The following is a 22888-nucleotide window of genomic DNA, read 5'->3' as shown; positions in this document are numbered from 1 at the left end:
AGTGGGAGAAGGAAAACCAAGTCAGTAAGCATCCCTTTTGAGGCCTCCTCTCCTTGTTTCTAGCACAGAGTTATAGAAAGCCCCACAAGGAAGATTCCAGTCTCCTCTTCCAAGCTGGGCCTCTCGGGGCCTCAGTTTCTTTATCTAGGAAATGAGGAGTTTAGCTCAGCTCCATGGTGCTTAAACTGGGATCCACAGAACCCTAAATGTTCTCCTCAAAGTCAGAGCCTGGGGAAGGGGAAGGGGAAGCGGAAGGGAGGAAAAAGAGAAGTCCAGCCCCCAGCTTTGTCAACCACAGATCTTTTTATCTGTTTGCACGCTGGGAATCTGCAGATAAAACTGCGTGCGGGGCCCAGAACTGGGCAGCCCCTGAGATTTCCCTGGGCGCCCATCCTGAGTGAGCCTCCACTTCTTGTTATTTTATATGGCTGTGATGAGGACTTAGCAAAACATGGAATATGAAGTTCTAGGCTACAGTAGTAGCTCAATAAATGCTAGCTGTCCCAAGACAGCTCATGAGCACACATGTGGCTTGATTTGTGAATTCCTCTCTCTGCTGCTCCCAGAAGTGGAAGTGGAAGAGGCCCAACCCCTGTCCCTCACTACTGTTGCTTGAGAAAACTCCTGGAAGTCCCTTTCTCAAGTTTTCTTTTCAATCCTCTTCCGCCCTCCAGCCTGTACGCAAGGCTGTGACAGGAAGCTGGAAATGCTGGTAGATGGCCCAGCAGGGGCAGCTGCCCAGCCAGACCCTCTGCTCAAGTGAAGGTGGAGTCTGAGCTCACTAGATTAATTGACAACAGGATGACCTGTTCCGGGGACTGGGAAATGAGGGCCGGGCAATCTCAGTAGAGATGAAGAGCCGGGTCCAGGGCCAGTGTCTGGGACCCCAAGCCCCAGGGAGAATGGGACAGGTACTTGGAAGGGAGCCATTTGCCCAAGCTTCCCATATTTCACACCCTTGGTTGCCCTGGAGATCATGAATTGGTTGGATGATCAGGCAGACTCTAAGCAGGACCAGGGCCATGGACCCCAGGAAGGGAGATCAGGAATGAGCCTGACTCCCAGTCCAGTGCTCTTTGCCCTAGGTCATGCTGTCTCTAACAAAAACAAGCCAGCATTTCCATTTCCATAACGCATCATAGCTAGGAAGCAGAGAGTTAGCCCAGCATCTTCTAAAGATGATGAGAGGTCTTAGGAAGTACAGGGACACAATTAGATAATATTGAATCACTCGGTGAAAAAGTGATTCTCTTTGGATCTCCTGCAAGCCTTCCATCATGAAGTAGAAAGTCGCAGGCAGTGCTACCGTCCTGTCATCAGGGCTCTCACATTCACTAATCTCCTTTAAAATGACAAGGACAAAGCCTTCAGGCTCAGAACCTCAGGCAGACAATAGAGTATCTAGCTTGGATTTAATCTTAATTTTTCCAGTTACCTTTATGTATGACAAATCAATACTGGTTCTCCAGGCATGTTCCTGGTACAAGGTTTCCTTTTAAAACGCATCTATTTTAAGTTAAAAGATAAGTTGATTTAAAGAAAATCGTTGTATAGGTAACTGTTAAGGGTAGTCTGCAAACATGGCCAAAACCACGCAAGTGCTAGAGAATGACTGATGGCCACAAGCACAGGTAGGCGCCATTTTTATCAGCCCCATACTCAGTTGGGGAAACTGAGGCTCCAAGGATGCAGAGCTGGAAAGTGGCAGGACTGGGGTTGCATGAGGTCCTGGGGACAAGGATGAAGCTGACTGCCTGTGCCAGAGGCCGAGGAGCCGTGGCCCAGCCTGCGTGGGTTTGTTCGGCTTCCTGACGCTGGTGCCTGGGTGGGGGTGGGGAGCCAGAGGAGGGAATTTGGAGTCGTTATTATTTCCTTTCATTCAAGCTCTTGACTTTATAAAATGTGGATGTTTTCCAGAGAGCCCAACAAGCACTACGAATAGATTTCGTTTGTGTGGAAACAGGCTGATGGGTAACTTCCCCCTTCACAAGAACCAACTTCCCTGTCTTACCCTATCATTGTTTATTGAAACAAAGAGGCAGCCCTGCATCTATGGAGGGCCCAGAGAACAATATCCTGCCTGCAGACCTTTGGCAAGAAATGCGCTCTAAGAGCTGCCTGCACAACGGCCTTCCCAGTACCCCACAGAAGGACGCCATACCAGTTCCCCAGAAGCCTGCCCCAACCCACCTGTCCACCCCCTTGTCCGGGAAGAACCCACGCAGGCCCTTTCAGCAGGACCAGGACTGGGTTTGAGCTTCCCCTAGAATCCACTGATAGTCCCTAACAAAGCCACATCAAAACTGGCACCCCCCTTGCCAGACCTTAGTAATTGCGGTGGGGCACTGCAACCATGGAGATCAGCACTGTTGCTCACCGGCCCAATTAAAATGAGCCGCAGCAAAATGTCCTACAAGTAACACTGCCAAAGCAGGTCACGCAGGCGCTTCCCCATTCTGGACCAGCCTCTTCTCTTCCCAAATCTCAGTTACCTGATCTGTAAAATGGGTACACTAATACCCATCTTGGGGAGCTGCCAGGAAGTTCCAGGAGCAAGTCTGTAAGAGGCCCGTGCAGTCCTAGGAATGGAAGGGCTCAAAGCCCCTGGGATGTTGTCATGTCAACCAGGGGATAAGGGGCTGAATGTCCATGAAGGACCAGGCCTGGCCCCCTGGCCCTGATCTTTCCAACAGGCAGTGGGGCTCTCGTTCTTCAAAGGAAGACCGGGTCATGGGGCTAAATGTACATTAGGATTTCTTTACTTTGTTTCCATACACACCCTTTCCCTTCAAAAACTGAGGCCTTCTTACAAGGACAGGTAAGACAAAATGAAAACAAGTTATTTAAAAACAAGTAACAAAAATGAAGGCTGAATGTCATCAAAACGAAAAACCTTTGTGATTCAAAGGACGCTATCAAGAAAGTGAAAAGACAACCCACAGAATGGGAGAAAATATGTGTAAGTCATATACTGATAAGGACCTTGTATCCTGAACATATGAAGAACTCTTATGACTTGACATTAAAGACAAACAACCCAATTCAAAAATGAACAAAGAATCTGAATAGACATTTCCCACAGAAGTTACACAAGTGGCCAAAAAGCACAAGAAAGGGTGTTCAACATTATTAATTATTAGGGAAGTATGAATCAGAATCACATCAAGACACCACTTCACACCCACTAAGATGGATAAAATAAAAAACACAGAAAATAGCAAGTGTTGATGAGGTTTTGGCAAAACTGGAACCCTGCTGGTGGGAATTTAAAATGGTACAGTGCTTTGAAGAACAGCCCAGCAGTTCCTCAAAAGTTTAAACATAGAGTTACCACATGACCCAGCAATTCTACTCCTATGTATATACCCCAATGAAACATGTCTACACAAAAACTTGTACCTGCATTTTCACAGCATTATTATTCCACAAGAGCAAAAATGTAGAAACAAAAAATAGAAGCAGGTTGGACACGGTGGCTCGTGCCTGTAATCCCAGCACTTTGGAAAACTAAGGAGGGTGGATCACTTGAGGCCAGGAGTTCGAGACCAGCCTGGCCAAAGTGGCGAAAACCCCATCTCTAATAACAATACAAAAATTAGCCAGGCATGGTGATGGGCATCTGTAATCCCAGCTACTTGGGAGGCGGTGGCAGGAGGATCACTTGAACCCGGGGGGTGGAGGTTACAGTGAGCCGAGATCCCGCCATTGTACTCCAGCCTGGGCAACAAGAGCGAAACTCCATCTCAACAACAACAACAACAACAAAAAGGTAGAAATAACACAAGTGTCCATCAAATGATGAGCAGATAACTAAATAAATGTGTTGTATCTTTACAATGGAATATCATTCAGCCATAAAAAGGAGTGAAGTGCTGATACATGTTACAATGTGGATGAATCTTAAAAACATTATGCTACAAAAGAAACCAGTCGGCTGGTGCGGTGGCTCACGTCTGTAATCCTAGCACTTTGGGAGGCTGAGGCGGGTGGATCACGAGGTCAGGAGATCGAGACCATCCTGGCTAACACGGTGAAACCCCGTCTCTACTAAAAATACAAAAATTAGCAGGGCGTGGTGGCAGGCACCTGTAGTCCCAGCTACTCGGGAGGCTGAGGCAGGAGAATGGCGTGAACCCGGGAGGCGGAGCTTGCAGTGAGCCGAGATCACACCACTGCACTCCAGCCTGGGGGACAGAGCGAGACTCCGTCTCAAAAAAAAAAGAAGCCAGTCACAGATGGCCACATATTATATGATATTCCATTTATATGAAATGTCTGAAATAGGCCTGGAGACAGAAAGTAGATTAGTGGCTGTCAGGGCCTGGGAGGAAAGGGGAACAGGGAGTGACTGCTAACAGGTACAACAGTTTCTTCTTGGGGTGATAAAATGCCCTGGAATCAGAAAGCAGTGATGGTTATAAGATTTTGAATCTTTTTAAAACCATAGAATTGTACTTTAAAAGAATTAGTTCTATGGTATGAGAATTATACCAATAGATCTCAAAAAAATTGGTATTTTTGTTTTGTTTTGTTTTTTGTTTTGAAATGGAGTCTTGCTCTGTCACCCAGGCTGGAGTGCAGTGGCACGACCTTGGCTCACTGCAACCTCCCCGTCCCTGGTTCAAGCGATTCTTGTACCTCAGCCTCTGGAGTAGCTGGGATTACAGGTGTGGGCCACCATGCCCAGCTGATTTTTTGTATTTTTAGTGGAGACAGGGTTTCGCCATGTTGGCCAGGCTGGTCTCGAACCCCTGACCTCAGGTGATCCGCCTGCCTCAGCCTCCCAAAGTGCTGGGATTACAGGTGTGAGACACTGCACCCGGCCATAAAATTGGTATTTCAAAAAGTCATCTGTAATGCTGGATGAAATATAATTCTGTTTTCACTTATTATTATTATTACAATGGGAACATTTCCTGGGCCACCTCAGCTCGGAGTGACCCTCCCCTCTCCTGAATACCTGTCACCTGTATCACTTCTGGGCTGTAGAACTGGAGGGTAGAAGGTGAGCTGCTCAGCTCTCTTCAGAGCCCAGCACACACTCAGATCCAACTGTGGCCCGCTGGCCAGCTTCTGTGAGCTGACAAACCCGAGACAATCCCTAAGACAAGCCACGCTCACGGCTGTCTAATCAGCACCAGAGATGAGCCTGCCACGTGATGTTTTTAACCTGGGGCTCGAGGGATGGGAATGTACGCAGGGAGCCTTACTGGTGTGCTCACCTAATATTCCAGATGCTCCTCTGCCTTTCCCAGCCTCCCCACTGGCCATGGACTGCGAGAGGAAGTGATGAGTGTTGCTTCTGGGTCAAGCACTTAAAAGCTTCTGTGCCTCCTTCATCCCTCTCTTCCTCTGTGGCACTGACCATGGGACAACACACTCCAGATGGTGGGGCCACAGGAGCAGCCAGGATCCCTGAGTCACCCAGGGAGGACCCAGAAGAGCTGATGACCTAACCAGATGATGCGTGAGAAAGAAATGAACCTTTGCTGGGAGGAGCCCCTGAGATTTGGGGGTTTGTTTGTTGTGGCAGCTAGTATAAATCATCCTGACTGGCTCACTGCCTCTGTCCAGCCCTCTGCAGCTGGAGGCCCTCCCGACCCTTCCTTGGCCTCTCGCACTCCACAGCTGGCAGTTCGACATCTGAACGATTTCCTCATTCAACAGCCTGACTTTGAAGGCACGGAGAAGGTGGGGAAAGGCAGATGACAAGCACTGCTGCTGGGCACTTAAGATGCCCCAGCTACCATGCTCAGTACTTGCTGCTTTTATTTATGATCCTCATCATGGCCCACACCCTTGACAGATGAGGAAACTGAGGCACTGAGAGGTTAAGCAACTTTCCCAAACCCATGCAGCCCAAAGAGGTGACATCTGGCTTTGAACCCAGGTCTACCTGACTCTAAAGCTCACGTCCTTCTCAGCACTCTGCTGCCCTTCTGTGAGCTCTCCAACAGCTTTCAACCCCTTCCAAGCCCACCCTTGGCTGTTGCCCTGTAACACCCCCAAAGCAAAGCTGGCCTTGTATGGGCGACTGATGCAGGATTCGAGGCAGGGTCTACGGAGTGGGGTTTGCCTCTTGAGATAAAAACTTCAGGCACGGGTTTGTAGGGCGTCCTCCGTGGTGAGGGAGAACGGAGCTCAAGGCATAGGCATTGCTTAGGCAGGGGCTTTCTATCCTGGCTTCCAGCAATTTTAAGATGGCAGACACCTCAGGATGTGAGCTCGCCAAGCGTGGCTCCCCAGAGACATGAGACAGGAGAGCTGACGGGCCCATGGAGGGCAGCTTCCAGAGCTCCCCTCAGTGTTTCATTCCAACCAACTCACATTGATCGAGAACCATGTGTCCAGCGTCATGCTGGGGCGGGGACACAGAGAGCAGATGCCACTGTCTCCATCCAAAATGAATTCCCCTGCCTCTGCCGAGAGCAGGTGGACCTTCCCACGGCCCTCATCCTGTGCTCTGTCTTTCCTGGGGACACCCCCATACACCCAGAGACTCAAGACAAAAGCCCAAGGGCATCCTCCTTCTGCCGTTTCGCAAGGCCCTTTGTTCCTCCCCATCCCCAAGGCTGCTGGCCCAGCTTGGGGACCTGGGGCTGTTCCCCAGATGGCCTCTTGCCTCCAGTCCTTCCTCATCCCCCTTATTCCTCCTCCATGTGGTCAGGGAGATCGTCCTAAAATACAAGTGGCACTCGAAGCACTGGCAACTCCACACTGCTGCCACCTCAACATGGCTTCCCAGGGCCTACAGCTCAGAGGGGCCCCCTCCCCATTCCCACCCCCACAGCACTGCCCATCCTGTGCGCTTTCCTACCTCTGTGCCAAGGTTTCTCAACCTCAGCCCTATTGACATTTTGCCCCCAGGTAACTCTGGGTAGGAAGCTGCCATGTGCACTCTAGAATGTTCAACGGCATCCATGGCCTCTACGCATCAGATGCTAGGAGCACTTCCCTCCCCCACAATTCTGCCAATTACAAGTATCTCCAGATAGCCCCAAATGCCCACTGCACTGCACCCATGAAGGCCGCTCCTCCTTCCCCTTCTTTTGTGTCCAGCTTCCTCCTCCACATCCTTTAAGATCTGATTCAGCAGCATCACCTCCTGGAAGCGTCCTCTAGCTCACCTGACCCCACACTTCCCTGAGCACAGCTCCACCACTGCTCCCATCGTGGGGCATTTGGTTAATCTGCTTATGTGTTGGCCCTACTCTGAAGGTGGGCTCCTCAGAATCCCCATCATGGGGCACAGAATCACAACAATGGAACAGTGTGCTCAGAGACCACCCAGGTGAGGCCAACGGACTCTGACAAGAGGCAGAAGAGGCTCTGTGCAGCTGGGGATGTTGGAGATGACTGCAGACAGTGGTGCCTGACACAAGTGTCCTCAATACATGCAGGGATACAGAAGCGAGAAAGACAGAGTAGGGGACAGCGCCTTCATAAAGGGCCTTCTGGGGCACAGCCTGAACAAAGGCCACAAGGTATGGACATCCAGGTGAGCCTAGGAAATGGTGTGGCCACAGTCCAGTGTGAAGCCACAGGAGAGGTCCCAGGAAAGGATGCTGGAGCAGAAGGAGGTGTGGGCGTGAGGCTCTTGGATGTGTTCTGTAGCCCAAAGTGTGCTCAGCAGAATGGAAAATTGAAAAAAAATTATGGTCAATAACTTTGAGAAATGCTTTGGTAACAGTTAAAGAGGTTTCTTTCTTGCAGGACTTCTCAGAGCCTTGAATATGCTCACATGCTGAGTGAATCTACCGGGGGAGACATGGTATTACAGTGCTGCCCACGTGTAATTGACCACTGAGGGTTCTTTTTCACAGAGCTTCTCCACTGGCCACTCTCCTATGGTCTACCTTTTGGGAAGCACTGCTCAGAGCTGAGACACACAAGCTACATACTGAGGAGGGGTCCCAAGGCAAGGACAATCTGGGCTTGGGGACAGTGGCTTTGCAGTTGGTCAAAGTCTTCTGAGCCAGTGCTGGGGCCTCAGTCACTCGCTCAGCTCCTCAGCCAGCACCTTGCTTCGCTGCATCTGGGGCACTGGGGCACGTGAGAGGTAAATGAGGCTCCAGAGCAAGCTGTTATGGGAAGAACTGGGAAAGCAGTGCAAAGTTTATTGTAGGGAAACAGCTGACCCAAGGCATGGATCAACCACCTCCCCTGGAGGCCTCCCTGGCCGTAACATATGGTGTGGCTTAAATTTTTTAAATTGAGGAGAACTTAAGGGAAAAAATGCTGGCAGGCTCTGAGGCACTTGTAAAACCGTCTGAGCTGATGGGGGTGTCTGGGCCCCATCCCTCCAGGAGATGGAGGCAAGGCTGAGCAGAGCTAGGGAGGTCTGGAGAGCTCAGGTCAGGGGCTGCCAGCAGGGGCTTCTGGACAAGGTTGGCCACGGGGCAACCCGGTGGCAGCCCTCAGTGGCTGCCCCAGTGCCTGCCTGTACCCTGTTCTTGGCTAAGCCACAAGAGCCTATCCAGACAGCAAGGTCAGGCAAAGGGAGCACTCCGCCCTCACTGCAGATCAGAGCCAGGCCACAGACAGTGGCAGGACAGTGAAGCCGGGTGAGGAGACTACACCCAGGGGAAACACTCAGGGCTCTAGAATCACCCAGACTTGGGTTCAAATTCTAGCTCCGCCACTCACTAGTTGTGTGACTTGGGATGTGACAGCTCCCCTGAGCCTCTCCTTCCTTATCGGTAAGATGGAACAAATATAATCTGCATCCCACAGTGACAGCAAGGACTATAGACAGTGGTGCCTGACACAAGGAGTCCTCAATACATTCTAGTTGCCATTGTTTGGGGGGGACACATGTGACTGGGTAGCCCTATGGGGGCACAGATGAAGCGCTGGACTGGGCCAAGCTGAGCCACCGTGGGAAGATGCCTCTGCAGAGGGTAGCTGAAGACCCCTTCAGCAGAGTGGCCTCTCACGCTATTCAGCTCTGTGGCCTCAGTGGCCTGTCTGTAAATAGGGCAATCTCGTGGATACGCGAATCATCAGAGACATCTCGGAGGCATGTGGCACACCATAGGAGCCCAGCCAGGGAGCTGTCATCATTATGCCCTCTAGGGTGCATGCACCCCTTTAAGCTCAGGGCATGTGTTTATGCCCAGAGTGTCCACACTATCTTGAGTGGTGGCCAGGAGATCAAAAATGTATCTAGCCAGAGCCCCACCAATATGACATCGGCTGCGACTGGGTGAACAGGGACCCTGCTGAGAACGTCTCCTCGTCTGTGTCCACCTGAGAACCTCACAGACAGCAACAGGCCCATATCTGGAGCATAGCAAGGCCCCCAAGGTGGGGGCAGCTGTGCCTACCCAGGGCCACACCTTGTCCAGAGCAAACTAGCCCTATTCTATGCCTAGAAGTGTTTTATAAACATAAATTCTGTCATTTCTGAAAAGTGCAAAAGGGCTGGGGGTGTTTGCAGTTCACAGAAAGAGAAGTGCATGGATTATGATGGATGCAGCAGAGAAACAGCAAGGGGAGGCAACAAGGTGATGGCGACTGTGTGCGCATTAGGAATGCCGTCTAGCAGGCTGTCCAGAGTGGGGCGTGACAAAGGGCAACACTTCTGGGCGTGAGGCTGGTCTCACCCTGCAAGGGCAATGGCCACTACCAACTGCTGATGCTGGAGAAGAACGAGGGCTACATTTGGTGCAAGAGGTGCAGGAGGTTGAGGGGACTGATGGCCAAGACCTTCCACAGGCTGTGGTGACCTCAGTCCACTGGCAGCCTGGGATGGGCACCAGGAGGTATACTCTTCCGGGGAGCTGGTTGGCCCACAGGGTCCTGAGCAGGGTGAAGCCACCACTGGCCCCGGGGGATGGGACACACGCAAAGCTATTCCCACACAGGTCCCATCTCAGGCTCTCAACACCTCCGGGAGGTGAGTCTGACAGGAAGGCCACTTTTAAGAAAGGGAAACAGAGGCCCAGGGAGGGAATGTGGCTTGACCAAGTGGGCAGAACCACTGACACTAGAACACTAAATGGGTTGAGAACACACTTCTGTGAAGGTGAGTCAAGAGGAAGCAGATCTTGGAGAACCGAGGCTGCTGGACCCTGAGGACAATGGTACCCCGATGCTTCAACTATCCAGTGGGTGGCCCCGAGGTGGGGTCGGGGTGGCCCCTGACCCTTCAGAATACTCCAGAATATGTTTCAGAATTCTCTTCATTCTTTGATGTCGTTGGGCACCCCCTTTCCCTCCCAGTCAACCCCCAACACTTCCCCTCCACGCTGACCTCTCAGAACTGCCCTGCTAAGCCCTTCCTTCTGGGCACTTCTCCTGAACTTGGCCAGGCCTCCATCTGCCCTACCACAAATGGTTGGGTGTGGGCACACAGCAGCATGGTGACCCTTGAAGGGGCTGGGCCCCAAGAAGCAGGCATCCCGCCCCTACTCCAGTCCTGGCCTAGACCATCCCCATCTTGGCCCTGCCAGGCTTGGGCACTCTCTGGGGGAGGATGGGAACTGTGATCTCAGGAGGTCAACAACAGCCACCAGCCCAGCACTTAACAGCTCCCCATGTGGCCTGGCACAGACTTAGGGGCTCCTATTTTTGCATAAGGCCTCCTGTGCCACCTGCTGTGGGGTTTGGAAGACTCCTTACCTTTGGGGTGAGGTACTTGGTCATAATTTCCTTCCCTTTCTCTCCCAGTTTTTCATCTGGAGTAACTTCATATTCTGCCTAAAACAGAAGGAGAAAAAAGAACAATAACAGGTTTGCTCATGAGCTTCTTATAGTTACAGAACCTCACAGCCCCTGGAGGAAATCCCCTAGAGGCCACCTGACCAACCCCCTTCTCCTGCAGGTCAGGAAACCGGGGGGGAAGACCTGGCCACGGAGCCCCGATGTTTAGTCCAAACTACTTTGCCCTCTCTCACAGATGCTGGGTCTCAGGATGGCGGTGCTCCATGCAGACTGCACATCAGAATCAGCAGGGAGCCCTGAGCAAACACTGATGCTAGGCCCCACCCTAGACCCATGAAACCAGGCTTTCCAGTGGGCCATGAGGGCTGGCACCTGGGCAGCCGGGGTTGAAGACCACTGACTTAGATGAATCAAAGGAAACTACCAGAAAAATAACAGCCCACCAGACTGGAAGGCTGCCGAGAAGCTGCCTTAGGTCACTCAGACCTTGTAAGCTGTGTGATCGTAGACAATTTGCTTAACCCTTCTATAAAACGCAGATGGTACCAGCACCTAGGTATACACTGATTATACAGACGGAAGTGATCAAGCTCTTGGCCTGGGGCCTGGCCCATCATAAATAATAATAAACAGTTGCTATAGTTACCGCCATTGTGATTATTACACCTTGCAAGGATAAACAATAATGTGGATGCCTGGTCTTTTCCAGCTTTTCAGTTTACAAAGTGAACATACACAGGTTTTTTAAGATGTTCTTATCTGAACCTCGAAAGAGCCAGGGCAGTGACGCAGGAGAACAGGGGCTGCCATCCCAACCCCTCGTCTGTAGGTGGAGATCCCGAGGGCCGGCGGTGGGAAGGGACTTGCATAGGGTCATGCAGCGGGAGGTGGCAGGGCTGGGACTCGAACCTCCAAGCGCAGGGCTTCTCCTCAACCACACCACAGAATTTAGGACTCTGATAACTAGCCAAGCCAGGGGGCCCAAGCTCTAAAGATGGGAGGTCTCCAAAAAACAGACTTTTTAATTTCCCTGAATCCCAGAGGGGCTCCTTCGCTCACATCTGACGCACTCGCCACATGGATAAAGGGCCTCGAGTCAATAAAAAGCCTGAGTAAGCGGCCCTTTCTCATTTAGACAAAAGAGCTAATTGCAAATTGTTTATAACCATTTCAAAATCCACCACCCAAGGATTTGTCAGCCTCTGTCCAAAAGTACAGCTATTTCAAAAGAGGAAGGAAATGACACCAGCATAGACGGACCCGAACTCCTCCCCAGGCGTCCCACCATGCAGTCAGATGCCCAGCCGGCCCTCAGGGAAACTTCACACCTCAGTGTCTAGGGTCCGATTCCTCCCAGGCCAGCCAAAGGGAGCACGCAGGCGGCACTCGCAGTGACCACAGAGGCAGCCAGGCTCGTTTCCAACCACAGTGAGCGAGTGTCCTTGTCTTGCCCTCTCTCTTCTAATGGAGAGCCAAGATCCAATGATTTTCTCCCATGAAGAAACATGAACACTACAATCATTTAGATCACAGGGAGATAGGGCAGTGGTTCTGTAAGGAATCCCACCCCTCATTTTATAGGGCTGGACACAGAGGCTCAGAGAAGTCAGGGACTTGCCCAAGGTCCAAGGTCACAGCTGCTGGACTGGCGCGCTGGCCTCTGGATTCCCACTGCGCCGCGTGGGCAGAGCCTCTCCCCAGAGGTCAACTCCTCTTCCACATCAAGATGAGCCTTGAGGGACTGGGCACTTCTTGATGATTTGACTCGAGAGATGAATTCCTGAGATGCTTTAAGGTGGCTCTTTCTTCTTGACTTTTTCCTGTTATTTTCTTCCTCTGTGCCCCCTGTCGCTCTCCTAAACCTGAGTGCACATGTGTGCACACACACGTGCCCACAGACACAGATACACACACCCACACACACACCCACACACCCAAACATACACGTGCCCACACACACACAGATACACACCCACACACAGACACACACACACCCAAACATACACGTGCCCCCACACACACAGATACACACCCACACACACCCACACACACGTGCCCACAGACACAGATACACACACCCACACACACACCCACACACACACCCACACACCCAAACATACACGTGCCCACACACAGACACACACCCACACACAGACACACACACACCCAAACATACACGTGCCCCCACACACAGATACACACCCACACACACCCACACACACGTGCCCACAGACACGCAGATACACACACCCACACACATCCACACACGTGCCCACTAAGCAGATACACACACCCATACACGTACCCACACACCCCCACACACATGCCCACACACAGACACAGATACACACACCGACACCCACACACACCCACACACCCACATGCCCACACACAGACACACAGATACACACACCCACGTGCCCACACAGACACACAGATACACACCCACACACACGCCCACACACACACAGATACATCCACACACAGACACCCACACACCCACACCCACACGTACCCACACACAGATACACACCCCCATACACAGACACCCACACACACACTCAAACCCACACACAGACACACATACCCACAGATACCCACACACACACACACACCCCCCACACAGACGCAGACACACACAGATACCCACACACACCCACAGACACACACACACAACCACACACCCACAGATACCCATCCACACAAACACACCCGCACCCCCCCAGACCCAGACACACACACACATACCCACACACACCTACACACAGACACCCACACACAAACACCACACACCCACAGATACCCATCCACACAAACACACCCGCACCCCTACACACACACATACAGACACCCACACACAGACACACACCCCATATGGAGTGCTGATTCCAGGCTCACCCTACATGGCAGGGTATTATTATTATATCTACATGGTAGGTATTATTAGTCCCGATTTGCAGATGAAGAAACTAAGGGTCTAAGAGGTTCCAATACAGCACAGCTAGCAAGCGACGGGGCAGCAGTGGCGTCTCCAAAGGGGCTGAGCACTCTAGAGCCAGCTGCCTGCTGTTTTCCAGAATGAGAAGCACCCAGGGTCCTGCTGCCCCTGGACAGCCCGCCGTTGGTCCGGCACCGTGGGAATGTAGCTAGACTGCTCTGCAGGACGCAGGCCCTGGGCAAATGGCCGGCCATCATTTGGGGTAACTCTATACCATCCAGAACACTAGATTTGCACTGTACGAAAATACATCTGTGAAGGTGGCTCTATTTAACCAAATGGAGGCCTGGGGCTCACTAATCAGCCTCAATAACCAGCTAAAAATACTCTTGCTGTGGGTACTAAAACCCACGTTAAAAAAATAACATCCCTTTCAGGTCACCTGCCTCCCGGCAGAGGCCCCGCCGGTGGATGGGCACGCAGGTCCACAGGGCGGCAGAGGGAGCACGCGGGGACAGGCCTCCCCTGCCGGGATCAAAAGGCCTTTCTCAAAGAGTCCGTGCCAGGCCACCACTTGAAGAGCATTTGTGTTGGGAGGTGGAAAACGGATGGAAGGCCTCCAGCTGGGCTTTTCGCACTGATTAAGACACCTAGTGACAGGCCATGTCTCCACAGTGGCCCCCTGAGGGGAGTCCTGAGAGGCCACCTACAGAGGAAAGGTACCATGGTGGCTCCCCTGGATGGGCCGAGCTCAAGGCAGATCACACTCCACACGGCTGGGGCCACCCTGGAAACCACTGCCCTGAGAACACCCTTGCCCAGCTGGTGGGAGAAAGCTTAAACCAGCTTAACCAGCAAACGTAAGCAGCAAGTAAGAGTGTGCCAACAACCCAGAATTTTACAATTAGATGTAGCTTGGGAAATAGCAGCCAATGATTTCAATGAAAAGAAAGGTAAACTGTATGCAAAGAGTGCCCTCGTGACCTCCATCTGCAAGAGAGTCCCTTCCAACCAGAGAGAGAGAGATGGGCCTTGTCCCCTCCCCGAAACACAGGCACCTCTGCTGTTCTGTTCATTTAAAGCTCTCTTAGCCAGGGGCGGTGGTTCACACCTGTAATCCCAGCACTTTGGGAGGCCGAGGCGGGCGGATCACCTGACGTCAGGAGTTCGAGACCAGCCTGCCCAACATAGTGAAACCCCGTCTCCACTAAAAATACAAAAAATTAGCCAAGCATGGTGGCAGGTGCCTGTAATCCCAGCTACTTGGGAGGCTGAGGCAGGAGAATCGATTGAACTCGGGAGGCAGAGGTTGCAGTAAGCTGAGATTGTGCCATTGCACTCCAGCCTGGAGCTCTCCCTGCCCAGAACTCAGGTCTAACAGCCACGGTGCCAGGGAGCACCCATGACAATCCATAATCCAGATACGTGCCAGGTGCCAACAGGGAAGACACCACTGAATGAGCCTTCTCCCTGCATTGTGATTTATGCCAAACACAGGGGTGGCCTTTGCGGGGAGATGCTGCTCTAACACAAAATGCAGACTATTACATTGAGCTTAAGGAACAAAGAATTATTTCTACATCTGTGCCTTCCAAAGAGTGGAAACATCTATGTGCATCTTAGTTTATAGCCCTAATACTTCATTCTCTTGGCCTGCCCTAATTGCATCATCAATCTCAGAATCTGCCAGGAAAAATATGTCCTGGCTATGAAGACACATTTCCTTCAGATGCTTTTAAGAACCTGCCACGTTTTCAAAGAAGCCGGCCCTAGGTTTAGAAAGGGCAGTCTGGGCTGAATTCCTCCTGGCCTTAGACTAACTTTAGATGTCACCTCCTTCTCCCAGGAGACCTTCTTCTGCCCTAACAGGAAGATGAAGTCAGAGATGCCATGAGGTCTTGCCACCTCCAGCTTCTGTAATTATTGATGTGGTCAGCTTTTCCAGAGTCCTTGAGGCAGGGACAAGTGACACGCCTGGTCAGCACAATGCTCACCATGCACCCCGCTGGAGAAACACCTGCATCCACCCCCACGGCCCCAGCTTCTCGTGTGTGCTGACCACGTGGGCCGCCCCTCCAGAGCCCCTCTAGCCCTCTCCCACCCTGCTGTGGGGGTGGAGTGGTGGGGTGGTTTTCTGCTGGCTCCGTCCCCGCCTGGGCACCGCAGGCTCCCGGACCCTCTTCTCCAGACCCGACTCCTGTGGGCAGTCTTCTCCCACGATCCCGCGTCAGTCCCTTCCCTTGGCCCTGCAGGTTGCGGGGTGGTGGAGGCTCAGGGGTGTTGCATCAGCAGCTACTGATTTCCCTCCCACGCTTTGTAAATAGGCCCTCATTAAACTCCTCCATTCACACATGGGGCCGGCCATCTGTTTTCTGCCAGGACCTGGCTGATGCCCTGCACGGTGCTTCAGATGGGTGGGCACTGGCCTTGCTTCCTTTCTGCTCCCCAGTGAGAATGGCGAGCAGTGCATGATGGGGGTGTCCCCCAGGGGCCCCAGGGTCAGACGTACCTGGTCAACCCCAGAGCTTGTGCCCGCCTGGGCAAAGTGTTCTCTAGTCTCTGGCTCCGGCTCCCATCTGAGCGGCCCTCTCAGGCCTCAGTCAAGAGGGATTCACTGGCCCAACTTAGGGCAATAGATGGGATGGAACCTGAGAAGGGAGGGAAGAATGGACTCCTGTCCACATTGGGTGGAGAATGAAAGTGGTAGGAGCAACTCCAGATTTCCTGAGGTACCACAGCCACCAGCTTGTGAATTGTGGCCTGGCCAGAGTCAAACACTGAAGAGAAGGCAGGAGGGAAGGGGGGCTGCATCTCTCCACGTGGTGGAGGGGACAGGCTCGCCTCTCTCAGAGGGAGGGGACAGGCTCGCCCATCTCAGGGGAAGTGATAAGCACCCCAGTGGCAGAGGGTGACATGGTTTAGCTGTGTCCCCACCCAAATCTCATCATGAATTGTATCTCTCACAATTTTCTTGTGTTGTGGGAAGGACCCGGTGGTGGGAGGTAATTGAATCATGAGGGTGGGTCTTTCTGGTACTGTTCTCGGGATAGTGAATAAGTCTCACGAGATCTGATATTTTGTTTGTTTTTTGAGATTTTGAGATGGAGTCTCACTCTGTTGCCCAGGCTGGAATGCAGTGGTGCAATCTCGGCTCACTGCAACCTCTGCCTCCTGGGTTCAAGTGATTCTCCTGTCTCAGCCTCCCAAGTAGCTGGGACTACAGGCGCACGCCACCATGCCCAGCTAATTTTTGTATTTTTAGTAGAGATGGGGTTTCACCATATTGGCCAGGCTGGTCCCGAACTCCTAACCTCAAATGATCTGCCCATCTTGGCCTCCCAAAGTGCTGGGATTACAGGATTACAGGCTGAGCCACTGCACCTGGCCCGATCTGATGGTTTTATAAAGGGCAGTTCTGCTGCACACGCTCTCTTCTCTTGTCTCCCGCCATGTGAGACGTGCCTTTCACCTTCCATCATGACTGTGAGGCATCCCTAGCCACATGGAACTGTGAGTCCGTTAAACCTCTTTCTTTTGTAAACTGCCCAGTCTTGGGTATGTCTTTAAAAGCGGCCTGAAAACGGACTAATACAGACGGGCTGTGCCATCCTGCTTCCTGTCTGCCCCATCACTTTTCTCCTAAGAGCTCCACCCATCCTCACCCCCACCAGCTGCTTTTCCTCCTTCCCTCTCAGAATTGTTTCTCTGTCTCTGCATCCAACCAAGGATCTAAAGGCTACCAGGAAAGGTCTTTAACTTTCCCCATTACTCTTTTTGTTCTAAGTGAAAACAATCCCAGCCTAACCTAGTTCAACAAAACTGTAAGCTCCTGGCTCCTGGAATCTGAGGATGAGCTGAACAAACAAATTGTGGGGAAATCAGAAAAGCAGCTGGGCCAAGAGCCCAGAGACCAGGGACACAAGCACTTCTGTAGCCCCCATGATCTGTGTGTTGGGTGTGTGTGTGTGTGTGTGTGTGTGTGTGTGTGTGTTGCTCATGATCTCTGGGTGCTGACTGGCTTGTTCCAGTGTAGGAAACATGGCAGTCCACAGTTCCCAGGGTTTTTATGTTAAGCTTTCTCTAGCAGGGAAGAACTTCCCCTTGAGGCCATCAATTCCAGGGAAAGGACTCGTTGGCCTGCCTTGGCTCACAGACCCCCTCCTGCTCCAGTCAACTGCAGCTTGGGGGTGACATCATTAAGAACATGGCAGCTTCTAGGACAGCCATGTTATTTGGGAATGCGGGTGGGGCACCCAGGAGACTGGATGATCCCACAGATGTGCACTATATAAACCCATTTTAGAAGTGGCACTTTTTCAAGACAGCCCTGCTCCCGGGGTCTGGCTTCCTAGATGTTCTGACTGTCTCTATGTGCACCTGAAAAACTATAAGCACCCTCCACTCTTCCCATTTTGGGGGATCACACCAGTGAGAGAAAGACAAAGACAAATACTGGATTCTCATAAACAAGAGAAGCAGAATACTTAGCCCCCAGTGAGGCAGAGTGGATCATTTCACAATAAAATTTCAAATGGTCAGGCACATCTAAAGCCAGGTGATAGCCCACTAATTTTATTTCATCACCTAGAGTCTAGGCTACTTAGCAGATAGGAATGCCTCTTAGCATTTCCTATATGAGATTTCATTTGTTGTAACCTCATATTTGTAGTCGCCTGCCTCCAAGGTGGCCTTCAATAATCCTTGCCTCATTACTCATGCTCTAGGAAAGTCTCTTTCCATATGAAACAGGGCTAACCAGTGCCACCAGTATGATATTAGGGAAATGGTGTAGATGCTCTAAGGCTAGGTCATAGAGGGCACTGCAGCTCCTACCATGTTCTCTTGGATTGCTTGCTCTGGAGAAAGCCAGCCATGTTGTGAGGACACTCAAGCAATCCCATGGAGAGGCTCCCTCCTGCCAACAGCCAGCACCAACCTGCCAGGCATGTGAATAACTGTGGATGCAGATCCTCCAGCTACGGTCAAGCCTTCAGATGACTGCAGCCCAGCCAACTTCTTAATATCTCACCTCATGAGAGACCTTGAGCCAACAGCACATCGCAAAGCCATGCCCAAATTCCTGACCCACAAAACCATCACCTAATAAAGGTTGACTGTTGTTTCAAGCCACTATATTTTGAGGTGAACTAATACTGTGTGGGCCTCAGTGGCTCATGCCTGTAATCCCAGCACTTTGGGAAGCCAAGACAGGCAGATCACTTGAGGTCAGGAGCTCAAGACCAGCCTGGCCAACCTGGTGAAACACTATCTCTACCAAAAATACAAAAATTAGCTGGGCATAGTGGCGCACACCTGTAATCCCAGCTACTAGGATGGCTGAGGCACGAGAATCACTTGAACCCAGGAGGTGGAGGTTACAGTGAGCTGAGGTCACACCACTGTACTGCAGCCTGGGCAAAAGAGTGAGACTCTGTCTCAAAAAAGAACAACAACAAAAAACCCAAAGCTAATACTGAACAAATATTTTAACTTGTAGCTGGTGTTGCTTAATTCACTGCAAAATTTTCCTTGGCCAGGTACAGTGCCTCATGCCTGTAATCCAGCATGATTCCACTTTGGGAAGCCAAGGTGGAAGCATCACTTGAGGCCAGAAGTTCAAGACCAGCCTAGGCAATACAGAGAGACCCCATCTCTAAAAAAAAAAAAATTTAATTAGCCAGGCATGGTGGCCTGCGCCTGTAGTCCCAGCTATTCAGGAGGCTGAGGTGGGAGGATTCGCTTTGGGCCTAAGAGTTTGAGGCTACGGTAAGCTATAATCATACCACCGCACTCCAGCCTGGGCAATAGAGTGAGATTCCACCTCCTAGAAAAAAAAAATCTTCTTTATTTTTTTAATCTTTCATTTAACCAGAAAGCAAGCTGCACAAGGGCAGGAACTTAGTTCTCCTGTTCATTGTGTTCTCCCAACTGCTAGAACAGAGCCTGGCACACAGGAGCCACCCCATAAATGTGCCCTGGGTGAATCTGGTTCCATATCTGCCAAACATCCCTCAATCCCAAAGAGAAGAGACCTGAACCCATTAAGTCTCACCCAAGTGTGGAGATAAGATGGTTTCAAATGAGCCAGCATGTGGTCAAGGCTCCCAGGGAACAGGTTAGAGAGAAGTCCATCAGTCTCCAAGATGCCACAGACTCTTTGCCCTGTGGGGGCTGACACTAGCCTAGACCCTCTTCAATCCCCTGACCAGCTGGGCAAACTCTTTGCCCTTTAGAGACCAGACCTAGTCATGGCTTAGGTCACTGACTCCATTTCTTGCTGAGAGGACAGGTGGCAGTGGCAGGAGAAAAGTCTTTCTCAGGTTCCTGGAAGACCCTTGATAACCAACACCAAAGGCCAAACTCCCCCTGCAGTCTAGTAAATGACGCGCAAACAGTTCTGCTGCCCAGAAAATCACCTGGGCCGTCATTAAAAAACAGCTGCAGCCTTCCACTTGACTTGAGAAATGTGGACATTAAGACTGCACAGAAGGCCGGGCACGGTGGCTCACGTCTGTAATCCCAGCACTTTGAGAGGCTGAGGCAGGCGGATCACTTGAGGTCAGGAATTCAGGACCAGACCAGCCAACATGGCGAAACCCCATCTCTATTAAAAATACAAAATTAGCTGGGTGTGGTGGTGCGCACCTGTAATCCCTGCTACTCAGAAGGCTGAGGCAGGAGGATCACTTGAACCCAAGAGGCGGAGGCTGTAGTGAGCTGAGATCGCACCACTGCACTCCAGCCTGGGCAACACAGTGAGACTCTGTCTCAAATTAAAAAAAAAAAAATACTGTGCAGGAGAGGAGCCTTTCCCAGGGACTACATCAGAGTCCAACGAGGACAGGTTATTTTTAAAAGCTCCACTTGGTAGAAATTCAACAGAGAGATGGGAATGGCGTGGATGGCGCTGGCCGAGTCAGGCAGCACCCGGGGCGCTACTGCAACACCAAGGACCCCGCCACCTCCTCCCTCCTCTGGGTTCCAGTCAGGATGGAAGAAAAAACGGATTTTAGACGAGAAGTTACGCCAGCCCTGGAAAACTCAATAAAGTCTCCGTGCGTAAAAGAGGTGTTCCAGAGGCTGGTCATTTGACGTCAAGATGGGCGATGAAAAAGTCTCGCTAATTCCCAGGGATGCAGATGAAAACGCAGAAGGGAGCGGGTCGGCCCCTCGTGAGTGGCAGCTTCATTAGGGTAGATGTGAAGAGCATTTGACGTGCTGACACAGGAGCCAGACTCACATTTCCTTTCCAAAAAACAGCTCTTGGTACAGGCCCAGAGAGAGGGAACGATGGCACGACCAGAATGAAAATGGGCATCCATTGGATTTTTTTCCCCCCTTTTCAAACTGACTGTAAGTGTCTAACAAAACACGTGGCTGGAAAATTCCACCGACTCCTAGGCTTAGCCTCACTCTGCTCTGCCTCATCAACTCTCTAGATGGCTCCCAAAGCTGCTGCTGCCTCCTCTTTTCCAAATGGGGAGCAGCCCTTGGTCCGGGGCATCTTTTGTCCTCACGCTTCTCCATCCACGTGGATTTGTTTCCTTGGTGAGCTCCTCCAGCCCAGGGCTCTCTAAACACCAGCTATATATGTGTTGACAACTCCAAGGCTGGGCATGGAGGCTCATGCCTGTAATCCCACCACTTTGGGAGGCCAAAGCAGGCAGATCACTTGAGCCCAGGAATTTGAGACCAGCCATGGCAACATGGCAAAACTCTGTCTCTACAAAGAATACAAAAATTAGCTGGGCGTGGTGGTGTGTACCTGTAGTCCCAGCTACTTGGGAGGCTGAGGCAGGAGGATCACCTGAGCTCGGGAGGCAGAGGTTGCAGTGACCTGAGATCACACCACTGCACTCTAGCCTGGGTGACCGAGTAAGACTCTCAAAAATAAAAATTAAAAAAAAAAAAAGTTGACAACTCCCAATTTTCCATTTCCAGCCCAGATCTTTCTCATGAAGCCTGGCTTGAACACCCATCTCCCCTGGAGCTTCGCCACTCAAGGATCTGGTGGACATCCCAAGGCGCGTGTGCCTAAAACGGAGCTCTTGATTTTCCCCACAAGGTGACCCTCCTGCAGCCTCATCCTTACTCCATCTTTCCATTTGTTCAGGTCAAAACTTTGAAGTCTTCCTTAACTCTTCTCTCATCCCCAATCCATCAGAGAATACACCTTCCACACAAGTCTCAAATCCAACCACTTCTCACCACCGCCAGGGGCTACTAAGATGGCTTGAGCCACCAGCTGCTCTCACCTGGACTGCTGCAACAGCCTCCTAGCAGATCTCCCTGCTCCCACCTCAGCCCCTCAAAGCCTGCTCCCAACATGGAAGCCAGAGGGATTCTTGAAAAACCTAAGTCACAGATGGGCATGGTGGTGCACACCCGTATTTGCAGCTACTTAGGAGGCCAAGGTAGGAAGATCACTTGAGTCCAGGAGGTTGAGACTGCAATGAGCTACGAACCCACCCCTGCACTCCAGCCTGGATGACAGAGTGAGACCCTGTCTCATAAATAAAATAAAATAAAATAAAATAAAACCCCAAGTCAGACCATGCCACTGCTCTGCTAAAAACCCTCCAGTGGCTCCCCCATTTCACCCAAAGTCAAAGTTCTCTGATGGCACAAAGTTTTACATGATCACCTCCTCTCCTACCCCCTCTGCCCCTCCTCCCTCCCCTCCAACTGCGGACACTCGTGCCTTCAGGCCTTTGTGCTGGCTGTTCCCTGCCTGTAACACCCTTTCACCACATATTCACTTGGCTAACTCCTCCAACGACTTCCTGGTCCTCAGTCAAATGTCGCCTTTTCAAAGACTCCAATGCTGACCATCCTACTTCATGATACAACCAGCCTCCCCATATCCAAACTCCCAACCTCCTTTAACCTGCTCCAGTTGTTTTTCCATCCCAGTTCTCACCTTCGAACATTCCATGTCATTGGCTTATGATGCTCATGGTCTCAGAGGCAGCATGATGCAGAGGAAGGAGCCTGGACTGGGAGCCAGGAGACCTGGGTTCTGGGCCTACCTCTGCCCCTCACATGCTCTTTGACTCTAGGCAAGCCACCAACCTCCACTGGGCCCAATCTGAGCATCACTCAACTGTTACGTGTGGCACTGTGGGCTGAGGATTCACAGACCATGGGCCACGTCTGTGCCACAAAGAGGCTCTGGCTAGTGGAGGAACAGGCACACAGACCCCTCAATGGCTAGGTTCACTGAGCCTCAGTGCTATTCCAGACATGGTTGTGAGCGGTAAGAACTCATGTAGTCTCTACCTAACA

General features: G+C 51.5%; 1 protein-coding gene across 1 annotated transcript in view, besides 4 other annotated features; it reads right to left on the bottom strand.

Annotated features, from left to right (window-relative positions):
• The window catches only part of GRK5 (G protein-coupled receptor kinase 5), a 252175-nt gene that overhangs the window by 52350 nt on the left and 176937 nt on the right, over positions 1–22888 (bottom strand). Inside the window, exon 4 of the mRNA NM_005308.3 lies at positions 10624–10701. Within this exon, the coding sequence (NP_005299.1) occupies positions 10624–10701 (78 nt within the window). The remainder of the gene's footprint in view (positions 1–10623; positions 10702–22888) is intronic.
• Positions 1788–2288: an enhancer, noted in NCBI's record as "H3K4me1 hESC enhancer chr10:121164620-121165120 (GRCh37/hg19 assembly coordinates)". NCBI's record gives its function as "activates a minimal SCP1, AML or CMV promoter by ChIP-STARR-seq in primed H9 embryonic stem cells {active_cell/tissue: H9 hESC(primed)}" and the evidence as "EXISTENCE:reporter gene assay evidence [ECO:0000049][PMID:30033119]".
• Positions 4801–6000: an enhancer, noted in NCBI's record as "P300/CBP strongly-dependent group 1 enhancer chr10:121160908-121162107 (GRCh37/hg19 assembly coordinates)". NCBI's record gives its function as "activates an origin of replication core promoter dependent on BRD2, BRD4, P300/CBP, MED14 and CDK7 cofactors, with strong dependence on P300/CBP, by STARR-seq in HCT116 cells {active_cell/tissue: HCT116}" and the evidence as "EXISTENCE:reporter gene assay evidence [ECO:0000049][PMID:35650434]".
• Positions 5332–5575: a silencer, noted in NCBI's record as "fragment chr10:121161333-121161576 (GRCh37/hg19 assembly coordinates)". NCBI's record gives its function as "represses an EF-1alpha promoter that drives an FKBP-Casp9 reporter gene in an ReSE screen in K562 erythroleukemia cells {active_cell/tissue: K562}" and the evidence as "EXISTENCE:reporter gene assay evidence [ECO:0000049][PMID:32094911]".
• Positions 15421–15921: an enhancer, noted in NCBI's record as "H3K4me1 hESC enhancer chr10:121150987-121151487 (GRCh37/hg19 assembly coordinates)". NCBI's record gives its function as "activates a minimal SCP1, AML or CMV promoter by ChIP-STARR-seq in naive H9 embryonic stem cells {active_cell/tissue: H9 hESC(naive)}" and the evidence as "EXISTENCE:reporter gene assay evidence [ECO:0000049][PMID:30033119]".

This window comes from Homo sapiens, chromosome 10, assembly GCF_000001405.40.
Source record: "Homo sapiens chromosome 10, GRCh38.p14 Primary Assembly".
NCBI classification, from domain to species: domain Eukaryota; kingdom Metazoa; phylum Chordata; class Mammalia; order Primates; family Hominidae; genus Homo; species Homo sapiens.
The sequence above is the reverse complement of the archived record's forward strand: the minus strand, read 5'-3'. Positions and strand labels throughout refer to the sequence as shown.